Source organism: Homo sapiens, chromosome 20, assembly GCF_000001405.40.
Source record: "Homo sapiens chromosome 20, GRCh38.p14 Primary Assembly".
NCBI classification, from domain to species: Eukaryota; Metazoa; Chordata; class Mammalia; order Primates; family Hominidae; genus Homo; species Homo sapiens.
The window spans coordinates 3,946,934-3,963,091 of record NC_000020.11 but is presented as its reverse complement, the minus strand read 5'-3'; the positions used below and the strand labels follow the sequence as shown (position 1 = coordinate 3,963,091).

At 38.6% G+C, this 16,158-nt stretch overlaps 1 protein-coding gene across 9 annotated transcripts in view; it reads left to right on the top strand.

The window, feature by feature from the left end:
• RNF24 (ring finger protein 24) overlaps positions 1 to 16,158 on the top strand; it is an 88,248-nt gene that overhangs the window by 52,467 nt on the left and 19,623 nt on the right. For all 9 annotated transcript variants that reach the window (NM_001134337.3, NM_001134338.3, XM_011529146.3 and 6 more), the window contains one exon: positions 14,813 to 14,855. In NM_001134337.3, the coding sequence (NP_001127809.1) occupies positions 14,813 to 14,855 (43 nt within the window). The remainder of the gene's footprint in view (positions 1 to 14,812; positions 14,856 to 16,158) is intronic.

Below are 16,158 nucleotides of genomic sequence, written 5' to 3'. Positions count from 1 at the left end.
TAATCTACAGAAAAAACCTTTATAAAACCTGTTTATTTCCAGAAATTCCTTTTTCTGACATTTCTATTAAACTATTATTAAAATAATTAGATCAGCCAGGTGCAGTGGCTGACGTCCAAAATCCCAACACTGGGAGGCTGAGGTGGGCGGATTACCTGAGGTCGGGAGTTCGAGACCAGCCTGGCCAACATGGTGAAACCCAGTCTCTACTAAAAATACAAAAATTAGCGAGGTGTGGTGGTGGGCACCTGTAATCCCAGCTACTTGGCAGGAGAATCCCTTGAACCCGGGAGGGAGAGATTGCAGTGAGCCAAGATCGTGCCATTGCAGTCCAGCCTGGACAACAAGAACAAAACTCCGTCTCAAAAAAAAAAAAAAATAGTTTGATCACAGTGTTCTAGGACAATGGGATATAAATATCATCCAAAAATGTAATTAAGAGTAAAAAGTTTAGCACTGTGTAAAGTAACTGTTAACTGAAGAAGTCCCAAAAAAAGTACTGCCACTTTTAAGTTCTAGACTTGGGGTGTTTGTAATTGTAAACACCAAAGCATTTGTGTTTGTCTATTTGTAGACAAGCACCTTCCTTAGTGGAAAGAAAAAAAAATGAGGTACATATATGTAAATACTTGCTGCAGCATTTAATATATTTTTGTGTTACACTTTTTGTTGCATCGTAAACACATTTATTATTACCAATGGACAATGAGTTCTTTATTGTTATTATTATTATTATTTGAGATGGGTTCTCACTCTGTTACCTAGGTTGGAGTGCAGTGGCACAGTCTCTGCTCACTACAGCTTTCCTCCTAGGCTCAAGTGATCCTCCCACCTCAGCATCCCAAGTAGCTGGGACTACAGGTGCCTGCCACCACACCTGGCCAATTTTTTTTGTATTTTTGGTAGAAATGGGGATTTGCAATGTTTCCCAGGCTGGTCTGAAACTCCTGAGTTCAAGCAATCCACCCGCCTCAACCTCCCAAAGTGCTGGGATTACAGGGGTGAGCCACCACATCTGGCTAGACAATGAGTTAAGACTGTTCAACTAGTTCAGATTTTTACATCTCTTTCTAGCAAGAAAAGACAAGGTTTTGTGTGTTTATACAAATGTTAATATTACTGCAATTCCAATATAATAAAGCACTCAAATATAAATTAATAATAGTTTGATAAACATTATGTAAATATTCAGCATTTTTTAAAATTAGAGAATTAGCCATAGCATATATAGGACCTCAGAATATAAAAATATGGTTTTTTTTTCAGACTTACTAGTTTTTTTTGATAATTCCTCTACGAATGTTGATTTAACTTAGAAATATGTAAATTTAATATTCAAAACCAAATTATTTTTTAAAGAGGCAAAAAATATAAAAATATAACAAAATGTAAAAAAAAGAAAATGTTATTAAGGGAGGGTTATCATATGTAAAATATTTAATTCTAAAATATATAGCTCATAATATAGTTTTCATTACTATGTCAAAGAATTAAGTAAGCCTTTAACTTTAAACAAACAAAAACCCACTAATGTACCAATTTGTGATTCTGGGCAAAGTTTTTGAAAAGTAAGTTATGAAACACCCTTTTACCTCATTGTATTCCTTTTAATAATCAAGCAAATAAGTAAAGTGATAATGAAAAAATAATGATATGTACTTAATTTTATCCTTTTGTATCTTTTTTTTTTTTTTCAAGATAGTGTCTCACTCTGTCACCCAGGCTGGAGTGCAGTGACATGAGGCTCACCAAAGCCTCAACCTCCTAGCACAAGTGATCCTCCCATCTCAGCCTCCTGAGTAGCTGGGACTCTAGACACCCACCACCACACCCAGCTAATTTTTTTATTTTTTGTAGAGACGAAGTCTCAGTATGTTTTCCAGACTGGTCTCCAACTCTTGGGCTCAAGCAGTCCTCCCAGCTCTGCCTCCCAAAATGCTGAAATTATAGGCATGAGCCACCACACCCAGCCTTATCCTTTTTTATAATCAGCCTAACAGGCCGGGTGCAGTGGCTCATACCTGTAATCTCAGCACTTTGGGAGGCCAAGGCAGGCGGATCACTTGAGGTCAGGAGTTCAAGACCAGCCTGGCCAACAAGTGAAACACCATCTCTACTAAAAATACAAAAATTAGTTGGGTGTGGTGGCACACGCCTGTAGTCCCAGCTAATCGGGAGGCTGAGGCATGAGAATCGCTTGAACCCTGGAGGCAGAGGTTGCATTGAGCCAAGATTGTGCCACACTCTACCCTGTCTCAAAAAAATAAAAATTAAAAAATTTAAAAATAAGCTAACAAAGCAAAGAAATTAGGATCTGTTACACTAAAATTGAATTATCATGTTTAATCAGAAATGTTCAAACATTTCTAAACTTCATTTACTAGTCATTGGTACGATTGTTTTTTGTTTTGTTTTGTTTTGTTTTGAGATAGAGTCTTGCTCTGTCACCAGGCTGGAGTGCAGTGGTGCAATCTTGGCTCACTGCAAGCTCTGCCTCCCAGGTTCACGCCATTCTCTTGCCTCAGCCTCCCGAGTAGCTGGGACTACAGGCGCACGCCACCACGCCCAGCTAAATTTTGTATTTTTAGTAGAGATGGGGTTTCACCATGTTGGCCAGGATGTTCTAGATCTCTTGATCTTGTGATCCGCCTGCCTCAGCCTCCCAAAGTGCTGGGATTACAGGCATGAGCCACCGCGCCTGGCCAATTTTTAAAATTTAATCATGAGGTAAGGAGCTTTCCTTTGTGATGATCCTAATTTGTTACCTTTAACACTTCAAATGGTAAATTGGGATTTAACAAGTCTTTGCAGTTAATCTAGAGATCTGTGGAGTCAGCTCCTCCAGAATTACCCTAGCTCATTTTTTATGATAACCTAAGCTCTCCAGCACCTTCCCAGGAGGTTCTTCTGTTCTCCAGAGAGCTCCCTCCAGTCACCACCACTGGACTCATCAGAACCATAGGAAGACTATAACTTAGGTCTAAACAAGACAGTCACTACCAACCACAGTCTTACACAGGATTGTAGTATAGAATGTGCTGACTATGGTAGGGCTGTGAACAGGGCACTACTGGAGCACAAAAGAAGGGCATCTTACCTTGCTAAGAAAGATCCTGTTTTATAATGAATTATATAATATTCTAATTTATGTTTGTTCATATTTTTTCCCTGATGGTTATTTGTTGTGTTTGTTATATCTCAAACACTCAGAATCGTGCCTGGCACGATATTAAGCACTCGATAAGTATTTGCTGGGTGAATGAATGAACGGTTCCCTAGTAGGAAGTCATTAGATATGCCTAAAACTAAAAAATCAAGAAGTACCAACACAGGCAAGTTATTTAGAAACATGAAAGTCAGGATCAAAATAGTGAGCTAAAGGGGGAAAAAATGGGTTATCTCTTGAGAAGAGGGCAGAGGACTGCTGATTTTTTGTTATTAACCCTGTAGAGCCACATATGACAACATATGTAACTTGGATAAAATTATAAACAAAAAATAGAGGGGTGATGCATACCCCAGTTACCCTGATTTGATCATTATACGTTGTATGCTTGTATCAAAATATTACATGTACCCCATAAATAGTACAATTATTGTGTATTATGTTTTAATAATACTCAAAAATAAATTTTGAAGAATACAGGGAAATTTTGGGGCTACAGTTATTATGAGGTCATGAACCAAGATAATGACAGTAGATCTAGAAAAGATGTTGTGGTTGTAAGAAATACTTGGGAGGTGAAAATAAACAGAAATTAATGACTGGACATTAAGGACAGAAGGGGTTTAGAATCTTTCTTGGACTTCTGGCTTAGGCAGCTGGGTAGATAGCAATCCCTTCCGAGAGATAGAAAATGAATGGGCACATTTTAAGTGAAAAGATGATAGATTCCATTTCAGAGATGGGGGTCTGAAGATGTTTAATACTTAGTTGGATGTGTAGCTCTAAAGCTTGTGAGAAGTCTGATCTGGAAATAGGAGGTCATGTAATTAATAGGTAGAAGCTGAAGCCAGGAGTGTTGCCTAGAGAGAATGTGTATAGTAAAATAAAATGGGCCCAGGGCAGAATCCTAAGGAAACATTGATATTTAAGAGGAGCCCTTAAAAGAGACTGAGAAGGGATAGCAGGAGATAAGAGGAAAATCGAGGCTGGGAATGGTGGCTTACGCCTATAATCCCAGCACTTTGGGAGACCGAGCTAGGTGGATCACCTGAGGTTAGGAGTTTGAGACCAGCCTGGCCAACATGGTGAAACCCCATCTCTATTAAAAATATAAAAATTAACCAGGCGTGGTGTCACATGCCTGTAATCCCAGCTACTCAGGAGGCTGAGACAGGAGAATCGCTTGAACCCAGAAGGTGGAGGTTGCATTGAGCTGAGATTGCGCCACTGCACTCCAGCCTGGGCAACAGAGCAGACTCCATCTCAAAACAAACACACACAGGGGCACAGAATATTGTGAGAAAGATGCCCTACAAGTAGTGTTTCAATGGATTGAGTCAATTATGTCAGCTGCCAACAAAGAGGATAACAATTGAAAAGTTCACATTACATTTGACAATAAGGTTTTGCATCCTTAATCTTTGGTAGAAAAATTTCAGTAGCATAGGGAAAGGGATGGTAGAGGCTATAATGGGGCAAAACCTGGCTAGTAGGTGAAAGTGGATACAAGGAATATAACTCTGTCTTTGAAGAACCTTGGCTGGAAAAGATTAGGTTGAGGGGAGGAGTTGCTGTAGAATCAAGGAAGTATTTTAGTGCTGGGTTTTTTTGTAAGATAGAGATTTTGGTATGTGTATGCATATATTAAGGAGAATGAGCCAATTGTGGAAGATTTATAAGAAAGAATAAATCATAGAGGTGAAAAGAGACACACATAAGAGAGATAGCAATATTATTCCTAAGCAGGAGAACACCTTTTCCTAAGACAGAGATGAGGGTAGCTGTAGAAAACAAAATATATTGTAGCCATGTGGAGCTGGGAGTGAGAAAGCTTGCATACATCACAGCCCCCTTTATTTGTGTAGTAAAAAATTGACAGTTGAAAATTATAGGGGAGGAAGTGATAGGGTAACACTTAAAGAGAGTGGCAAGGGTTTGAAAGAACCACTGCATGAAAGCTTAGGATACTGAGCATGAATAGATAGAAGGATTAGAGAGCAATGTGGAGAATCAGGCTGAGACTGGAGACCACAAATTTGCAGTGGCCATAAGCTACACGGTTTTATCATTTCTCTAGCACTGTTCAGCATTGTTAATCATGCCTTCTTAAATACTTTTTAGATATCTATTTAGCAGTGCAAAATAAAATAGTGCAATGTAAAATATTAGATAATTAATGGGAGTTAGAGTAATGGAGGAATCAAATTAACTTCATAGAATGAAGTTAATTTAAGGGAGAACTTTCTAGAAGGGATGAATTTTGAGCCACAGATGGAAGAAAAAGGTGAGCACAAATTGATCCATGCTGTAGCTGGAAGTAACAAGTTCAGTTTTGGGAAAACATGCAGATCTAATTAAAAGATTCAAACAAGCAAAATGAATTAACAAATAAAGCCTCATTTTAATGACTTCTAATGGAATTCATTTTATTTATTTTTTATTTTTATTATTATTATTTTTTTTTTTTTGAGACAGGGTCTCAGCCTGTCACCCAGGCTGGAGAGCAATGTCATGATCATAGCTTACTGCAGCCTCAACCTCCCAGGCTCAAGCAATCCTACCTCAGCCTCTCAAGTAGCTGAGACTATAGGCACACGCCATCATGCCTGGCTAACTTTTTTTCTTTTTTTGAGACAGTCTTGCTCTGTCACCCAGGCTAGAGTACAGTGGCATGATCTCAGCTCACTGCAACCTCCGCCTCATGGGTTCAAGCAATTCTCCTGCCTCAGCCTCCCGAGTAGCTGGGATTACAGGCGTGTACCACCATGCCTGGCTAATTTTTGTATTTTTAGTAGAGACAGGGTTTCACCATGTTGGCCAGGCTGATCTGATCTGGAACTCCTGACCTCAAATGATCCACCCGCCTCGGCCTCCCAAAGTACTGGGTTTACAAGCATGAGCCACTGAGCCCAGCTGATGCCCAGCTAATTTTTCAATTTTTTGTAGAGACAGAGTCCCACTATGTTCCTCAGCCTGGGCTTGAGTGATCCTCCCACCTCAGCCTCCCAAAGTGCTGGGATTACAGGCATAAGCCACCATGCCCGGTCCATTTTATTTCTTTAGGTGAAAATAGTTTCTTTATGTGAAAATGGTATTTTTTCATGTAAAGAAATAAAATGTAAAACAAGCAAAAACCCTATAAGGATATAGATTATTTGAACTACATAATTAATAAACTTATGAGAAAGCTATAGCTTTAAATTCATATATTAGGCAAGAAAGACTAAAACCAATGAGCAACGTTTTCATGGAGCTAAAATAAAAGGCCAGTTAAACCCAAGAAAAAATAAAAGGAAGAAAGTAAAAAAGCTAAGCACGATATCAATGAACTAGAAAATAAATGTATAATAGTAAAAATTATTGAGACCAAAGCTGGTTCTTTGGAAAATTAATAAAATTGTTAAATCTCTAGAAAAACTAATCAGGAAAAAGAGGAAAGAAAATATACATTATAAAATATAATTTACTAAAATATAAATTACTAATATCACTAATGAAAAAGGGACATTATTACAAATCCTATAAACATTAAAAGGTCACAAAGAATATTATGCATTTATGGCAATAAACTTGAAATTTTGGGTGAATTACATAGATTCCTAACAAAAAAAGAGGTGTATCAAAACTGACACAAGAAAGGGCATTTATTAAAAAAAAAAAAACACACACACAACTTAACATTGTACTTTCTGGTAATAGACGGAAAGCTTTCCCCTAAGATCAGAACACAATAAGAATGCCCACTTTACCACTACTGTTCAGCATTGTACTGGAAGTTCTAGCCAGAACAATTAGGCAAGAAAAAGAAATAGAAGGCATCTAACTAGAAAGAAGTAACTATCTCCATTTGCAGATGATATGATCCTATACAGAGAAAATCCCGTAGGATCCACACACACACAAAAAAAACTACTGGAACTAATAAATTCAGCAAACTTTCAGAGTCTAAGATCAATACACAAAAATCAGTTGTGTTTCTGTGCATCAACAATGAACAATCTGAAAAGGAAATAAAGGAAACAATCCCATTTACAATAGCATCCAAAAGAATAAAATTTTAAGGAATAAAGTTAACCAGGGAAGTGAAAGACTTATACCCTGAAAACTACAAAACATTGCTGAAAGAAATTAAAGAAGACCTAAATAAATGTAAAGGCACCCCATGTTCATGGATTTATATCGTCTTTATATAGTTACAGTGTCAATATTTTCCAAGGCAATCTACAGATTCAGTGCAATCCCTATCAAAATTCTAATGGCCTTTTTTTACAGAAATAGAAAAAGCAATCCTCAAATTCATTTGGAACTGGGGCCCCAAATAGCCAAAGCAGTTTTGAAAAAGAAAAACAAATAGAAGGACTCACACTTCCTGATTTCAAAACTTCAGAAAGCTACTGTAATCAAAAAATTGTGGTACTGGTATAAAGATAGACATATAAACCAATAAAATAGAATTGAGAGTCCAGAAATAAATCCAAACATCTATGACAAATTGATATGCAAATAAGGGTGCCAAGATCATTCAATGGGGAAAGAATTGTTTCTTCAACCAATGGTACTGGGAAGCTGGATATTAACATGCGAAACATTTGTACATCAAAGGACATCAAGAAAGTGATAAGGCAACCTACAGAATGGGAGAAAAATATTTACAAGTCCTATCTGATAAGGGTTTAATACCCAGAATATATTAAAAGCTCTTAAAATTTAACAGCAAAAAGACAACCCAATTTAAAAATGGGCAAAAGACTTAAACAATTCTCCAAAGAAGTTACACAAATGGCCAACAAGCACATGAAAAGATGTTTGACATTATTGGTCATTAAGGAATTCCAAATTAAAAACACAATGAGATACCACTTCACACCTACTAGGATGCTGTAATCAAAAACAGAAAAATAACAAGTGTTAATGAGGATGTGGAGAAATAAGAACTTGCATATATTGCTGGTAGAAATGCAAAATGATGCAGCTGCTGTGAAAAAGAGTTTGGTGGATCTTCAAACAAATTCTTTTTTTTTTTTCTTGAGATGGAGTCTCGCACTGTCACCCGGGCTAGAGTGCAATGGCGCGATCTCGGCTCACTGCAATCTCTGCCTCCCAGGTTCATGCAATTCTCCTGCCTCAGCCTCCCAAGTAGTTGGGATTACAGGCGCCTGCCACCACACCCAGCTAATTTTTTGTATTTTTAGTAGAGACGGAGTTTCACTATGTTGGCCAGACTTGAACTCCTGACCTCATGATCCACCTGCCTCAGCCTCCCAAAGTGCTGGGATTACAGGCATGAGCCACCATACCTGGCCAGTTCTTCAAAATATTAAACCATGTGACCCAGATTTTCATTCCTAGGTATATACCCAAGACAAATGAAAATATATGTCCACACAGAAACGTGTACAGAAATGTTTCATAATAGCCAAAAGGTATAAACAACCCAAATGTCCATCGACAGATGAATGGATAATTGTATGTACATACAATGGAATATTATTCAGCCATAAAAAGAAGTGAAGTACTGATACATACTACAACCAGGATGAACCTCAAAAACATGCTAGGTGGAAAGCCATACACAAAAGGCCATATATTGCATTGTTCCTTTTATATGATATATCCATAATAGGCAAATCTATAGAGACAAAAAGCAGATAAGAGGTTGCAGGGGATAGAAGTAAGGGGTAATGGGGAGTGATCAGTGAATGGGGTACCAGGTGTTTTGTTGGAGTGATGAAAAATTTTGAAACTAGAGATAGCTGGTAGATGGACAACATTGTGAGTACACTACTTACCACTGAATTGTATACTTGAAGGCGGTTAGTTGTAATGTGAGTAAAAATAAAAGAATGAAATTTTTAAAAAGAAAAAACCGGGGCCGGGCATGGTGGCTCACTCCTGTAATCCCAGCACTTTGGGAGTCTGAGGCAGGGGATCACCTGAGGTCAGGAGTTCGAGACCAGCCTGGCCAACATGGTGAAACCCCATCTCTACTAAAAATATAAAAATTAGCTGGACGTGGTGGCACACACCTGTATTCTCAGCTATTCAGGAGGCTGAAACAAGAGAATCACCTGAACCCGGGAGGTGGAGGTTGCAGTGAGCCAAGATTGTGCCACTGTACTCCAGCCTGGGCGACAGAGTGAGACTCTGTCTCAAAAAAAAAAAAAAACTACTACAAGAAATTGAAAATATGAATAATTATATATCTAATACGAAAAAGAGACAGATCACGAGGTCAGGAGATCGAGACCATCTTGGCCAACATGGTGAAACCCCATCTTTACTAAAATACAGAAATTAGCCGGGCGTGGTGGCATGTGTCTGTAATCCCAGCTACATGGGAGGCTGAGGCAGGGGACTTGCTTGAACCTGGGAGGCGGAGGTGGCAGTGAGCTGAGATTGCGCCACTGCATTCCAGCCTGGGCAACAGAGCAAGACTCCGTCTCAAAAAAAAAAAAAAAGAGAGAATGTGTTTTGGGCCAGGCACGGTGGCTCATGCTGTAATCCCAGCACTTTGGGAGGCTGAGGCAGGCAGATCACAAGGTCAGGAGATGGAGACCATCCTGGCTAATATGGTGAAACCTCGTCTCTACTAAAACTACAAAAAAAATTAGCCGGGCGTGGTGGCGGGTGTCTGTAGTCCCAGCTACTCGGGAGGCTGAGGCAGGAGAATGGCGTGAACCCAGGAGGCGGAGCTTGCAGTGAGCCGAGATCACGCACTGCACTCCACGCTGGGTGACAGAGTGAGACTCCGTCTCCAAAAGAAAAGAAAGGAAAATTGAATGTATTTTTAAAACATTCCCACAATGATATTTTAAGCCAAGTAACTCATCCAAACATTTAAGGAAAAAAATACCACTCCAATATGACACTTCCAGAGAATAAAAGTGGAACAAATACTTCTCAGCTCATTTCATGAGGCCAGCATAATTGTGATTTCAAAGCCTGACAAGGATATTATGAGAAAGGAAATTATAGACCGATCCTTTTCATCAGCAAAATATTGTAAATCAAATTCAGGGATCTACAAAAAAGGTAGAATATTACAACCAAATGAGGTTTGTTCCAAGAACGAGAGTTATTTTAACATTTGAAAAGCAATCAATACAATATAGCACATTAATAGTATAATATCATAAAGCATTGATAAAATTTAATACCTATTCATGATTTTTTTTGGTAAACTAGTACTACAAGAGAACTTTCTAAAATTTGAAAGAGTATCTACAAAAAATATCTAAAGAAAACATCATACTTAATAGTGATGTATTGATAGGGACATTCACTATCACTTTTATTTAGCATCATACTGGAGGGCCTAGCTAGTCAGTGCAAAAAAAAAAAAACGGGAAAAAAGAATAAAAGAAAAGTGTATTTAGAAAAGAAGCAAATAAAGATTATAAAGGCAGTGTTTAAATTGTGATTATATGCAGACAACATAATTGTGTACATTAAAAAATCCAAAAGTTTTTACAGAGAAACTATTTAGAATTAGCAAGCCACCAGATACAGGATCAATATACAAAAATTACTTTTTTCCATATAGGTAGCAAGAAATAATTAGAAAATAAAGATTTTTTTCAACACTATTTACAGTAGCATCAAAAATTACCAAATGTCTAGGAGAAATGTGTAAGAGAAAAATTAAAGCTGTAAATAAAGAAATAATGTTCATAGGTTAGACACTCAGTCTTGCAAAGATGTCAGTTCTTCCTCAGTTGGTCTGTGAATTTTGTACATTCTTACTCAAAACCCCAAGAGGGTTTTTTTTTTTTTCTGGTGGAAATTGAAATCTATATGGAACTGCAGAGAACCAAGAATAACCAAGCCAGTCATTCAAAAGAATAAAACTTGAGGACTTTTGCTACCAGACCCCAAAACCTGTTTTAAAGCAACAGTATTAAGAGAAAGTGCTGTTCACCAAGCACCCAGATCTCAAGTTCTAAATACTTTTCTCCAATAAAAGGAATTAGGGTTCCTTGGAAGAAGTGGCTAACCCCAGGGCTGGAACACAGAACATATAAAATGAGCCTGAAACAAACATCTTTTGGTGCCAGTAAATACGGAAATGCATGGGAAAGGATGGGGGCTTGTTGAAAGAACACAAGAGTCAGCCTGAAGGACTCAAGGCCAATCAATTTGAGCAACAAAAAGTAGTGATCATATTGAACTGTAACTCATAGATTACAACCAATATCCATGAGTCTAGACTGATAGAAATAAATAATTGCACAAATAAATGAAGAAGCACATCTCTTCCCATAGATTAAGACCAATGTCCATTAGTCTAGACTGATAGAAATAAATAATTGCACAAATAAATGAGGAAGCACATCTCTTCCTTATAGAAGATTTCCAGTTAATAAATGTGCAAGGAATTAGAGAACTACAAAACCACCATTAGAGTTTAGGCAAACACTACAGTAATTATTGCAAGCAAGGTGGATGCTAAAATCAGTGGGCAAAAGCTTGAGAAAATAATAGAGTATATGTATAATTTCAGCGTGTCTCCCTCAAGATACACTACAGTGGAGAAACCCAGTGGACACTATCTTAACCAATCTTAAATTGAAATCTTCAAATTCCACCAAGAAAGAATGATCATACTTAATATGTCAAAATCTTGAAAGACAAGGAAAGACTAAGGAACTCTCAACAAATTAGAGGTGGCTGGCCTGGTGCGGTGGCTCACGCCTGTAATCCCAGCACTTTGGGAGGCCAAGGCAGGCGGATAACGAGGTCAGGAGATTGAGACCATCCTGGCTAACACGGTGAAATCCTATCTCTACTAAAAATACAAAAAAAATTAGCCGGGCATGTTAGTGGGTGCCTGTAGTCCCAGCTACTTGGGAGGCTGAGGCAGGAGAATGGTGTGAACCCAGGAGGCGGAGCTTGCAGTGAGCCGAGATCATGCCACTGCACTCCAGCCTGGGCTACAGAGCGAGACTCTGTCTCCAAAAAACAAACAAAAAATTAAAAGTGGCTAAGGAGACATAACTAGATGCAAGATGGGATCCTGGATTGGATAATAGAACAGGAAAAGGACATGAGAGAAAGAACTGGTAAAATTCAAATAAGGTCTGTAGTTTAGTTAATAATATATCAATGTTATATCAATACTAATATATCAATGTTAATTTAATGGTTTTGATAATTGTACTATGGTTGTATAAAATGTGGACATAGTATATACAACTATGGTTATATAAATGTGAAAGCTGGTAGAAAGGTATATGTGAATTCTATTTTTTGCAACTTTTCTGTCTAAAATTATTTCAAAATAAAAGTTTTTAAAATAGCATGATATTGACACAAGGTACATTGGTTGCTTAGTGTTGCTGTAACAAAGTGCCACAAATTGGGTAACTTAAAACAAGAGCAATGTAATTTCTTACAATTGTGAAGGCTAGAAGAGTTCAAATGTAAAGTGCTGGCAGAGCCATGCTTCCTCTGAAGGCTCTAGGAGAGAGTCTTTCTTGCCTCTTCCTAGCTTCCAGTGAGTACCAGAAAGCCTTGGCATTCCTTGGCTTGTAGCTGCCTCACTTCAGTCTCTGTCTCTGTGTTCACATGGCCTTCTTTTCCGTCTGTCTCTGCATATCCTCTCCTCTTCTTATAAGGATAGCAGTCAAATTGAATTTAGGGCTCATCTTAATCCAATATAACCTCATCTTAACTAACTAATAATCTGAAAAGACCCTATTTTCAAATAAGGTTATATTCTGAGGTTCCAGTTTGACATGAATTGGGAGCTGAGGCGGACACATTCATCACTATACAAGGATAGGCAAATAGACCAATGGAGCAGAATAATAGCAGCTCTAGAAATAGACCGACATATTCAATACACCTGATTTACAACAGATGTGTCACTGCAGTGCAGTGGGGAAAGGGGAGAATCTTTTCAATAAATGATGGTGAGGCAAATGAAAGTCTATATGAGGATAAAAAGCTACCTCACAGCATACATAAAGACCAATTTCAGATGGATCATAGACCTACATTTGTTAGGTAAAACAACAAATTGTTTTCACAACATACTCAGGAGAATATCTTCATAGTTTTGGGATAGGCAAAGATTTCTTTAATGGGACATAAAAAGAACTAACCTAATTGGGAAAAGTTGATAAATTAGACTTCATTTAAATTTAAAAATTTTTCAGACTTAACCTACAAAGATGTGAACACCTAGAACTCTCATAAACTACCCATAGAAGTAAAATTGTTATGAGTACTTTATTTTTTTTTATGACAGGATCTCACTCCGTCACCCAGGCTGGAGTACAGTGGCACAATCCCAGCTCACTGCAGCCTTCACCTCCCAGGCTCAAGCAGTCCTCCCACCTCAGCCTCCCGAGTAGCTGGGACCACAGGCCACACGCCACCATGCCCAGCTAATTGTATTTTTTGTACAGATGAGGTTTTGCCTTATTGCCCAGGCTGGTCTCGAACTCCTGGGCTCAAGCGATCCTCCTGCCTCAGCCTCCCAAAGTGCTGGGATTACAGGCATGAGCCACTGTGTCCGGCCAGGGTGAGTACTTTTATTTTTTTCAAGACAAAGTCTCACTATGTCACCCAGGCTGGAGTGCAGTGGCATGATCTCGGCTCACTGCAACCTCCGCCTCCTGGGTTCAAGTGATTCTCCTGCCTCAGCCTCCCAAGTAGCTGGGATTACAGGCATGTGCCACTATGCCTGGCTAATTTTTGTATTTTTAGTAGATTCGGGGTTTCTCCCTGTTGACCAGGCTGGTCTCAAACTCTTGACCTCAGGCCATCCGCCTGCCGCGGCCTCCCAAAGTGCTAGGATTACAGGCGTGAGCCACGGTGCCCAGCCTCGGTGTGAGTACTTTGAACCAGCAGTTCTACTCCCGGGTATATACTTAACAGAAATGAGTATATATGTCCACTAAAAGACATGTAGAATTTGTGTATCAGCTTTAATAATAGCCTCAAACAGGAAGTAATTAAATATTCATCAGCAGTAAAATGGATAAATAAATGGTATTATATTCATACAATGGAATACTGTATGTCAGTCAGAAAGACAATTACTACAACAATATGGAAGAATCTCACAAGGCATTGTAGACTGAAAGAAACCAAACACAAAAGAGTATATACCAAACGATCCATTTACATGAAGTTCAAAAACAGGCATAATTAATCTACAGTGTTAGAAATCAGGATAGTGCTACCTCTGGGGCATGGATATTGATTAGGAAGGATCATTTTAGAGGGCTCAGGTGTGCTGGAAATGTACCATGTCTTGATATGAGCAACAGTTATCCTGGTATGTACATTTTTTAAGATTTTGAGCTGTATACTTAAGGTTTTTATACTTCATTGGATGTATGTTATACTTAAATTTTTTCTAATTAAGAAAAAATATAAATATTATTGAAATAAGTAGACTGTCGGTATAAAAAGAATTGAGTCATCTTACGTTTGGGTAACATTTCATGGTTCCCTGGGCACTTTCACATAGCATGTTAAGAGATACATCATTTGGGTGTATTTCAGGGTAAAGATTCTAATTTATATCATTTGAGCCATAAATGTTATAAATTAATACCAAAATCAGCAACTTTTTATTTTTCTTCAAGTTACTATGTTGGAAATCTCAATATTGCATTACTAATTTCTGTCTTTTAGGCTAAGACATCAAGCACACAAAGAATTTTATGCCTACAAACAGGTGAGAAATTTAATTCAGATTGGCTTTGATTTTTTTTTTCCCCCCAAAAAACTGAGAACTCTGATTTCCACTCATACGTTAAACTGGGACTGAATTTACTTGTGTTCATTTTAGCATCTCACTGCCAATTTGCAGTATAATATATCAACTTCATTTTCTTAAGTATTCTTCTCTTCTTTTTTTTTTTTTTGAGACGGAGTTTCGCTCTTGTTGCCCAGGCTGGAGTGCAATGGCGTGATCTCGGCTCACAGCAACCTCCGCCTTCCAGGTTCAAGCTATTCTCCTGCCTCAGCCTCCCAAGTAGCTGGGATTACAGGCATGCGCCACCACGCCTGGCTAATTTTGTATTTTTAGTAGAGACGGGGTTTCTCCATGTTGGTCAGGCTGGTCTCGAACTCTGGACCTCAGGTGATCCGCCCGCCTCGGCCTCCCAAAGTGCTGGGATTACAGGCGTGAGCCACTGTGCCCAGCTTTTCTCTTCTTTTGTAAGCATTACTTGAAGCTGTAGAAAGTTCAGATGATATAATTTAACAGGAAACTTGAGCCAACAGATTGCTAAAGAGAAATGCTATAGCTTGTAATTCTTAAAGTTACTGTCGACTTAATGGAGTTCTGAGATACCATTAAGTGAAATTTTTCCTTCCTTCTTTATTAGAAGACATAGCAGTTCCTCGGAGGTGAGCGACCAGCTGTGTTACAGTGATCTCATCTACTCCCTTTTGTACTTTAAATGTTAGCTCATATTATCCACTAGAAGTCTGCAAACTTGGATCATAGCTGTCAATACCTAGTCCTTCACTGATTTTGTCTTTAAGTTAATACACTTATCTTTTCTCAAAGGCCAAGTAAAATTATTTTTTTCTTCCAAACAGGGGGCCTAGATTTTCCTTTGGCTCTAAGCATGAAATTCTTAATTTTTGTTACCCTTAGCTTTCTTCTTGGGTACAGGGGAGCTTCAGCTTATTTGAGTCTTTAACCTTGCTGACGCTGATGTTATGGAACTGTAACACTTCAGAACTGCGTATCTTGTTTTTGTTTGTTTTTGAGACGGAGTCTCGCTCTGTCGCCAGGCTGGAGTGCAATGGCAAGATCTCAGCTCAATGCAACCTCCGCCTCCCGGGTTCAAGTGATCTCCTGCCTCAGCCTCCCAAGTAGCTGGGACGACAGCCATCTATCTGCCACAACGCCCAGCTAATTTTTGTATTTTTAGTAGAGACAGGATTTCACCATGTTGGCCAGGATGGTCTTGATCTCTTGACCTCGTGATCCACCCACCTCGGCCTCCCAAAGTGCCAGGATTACA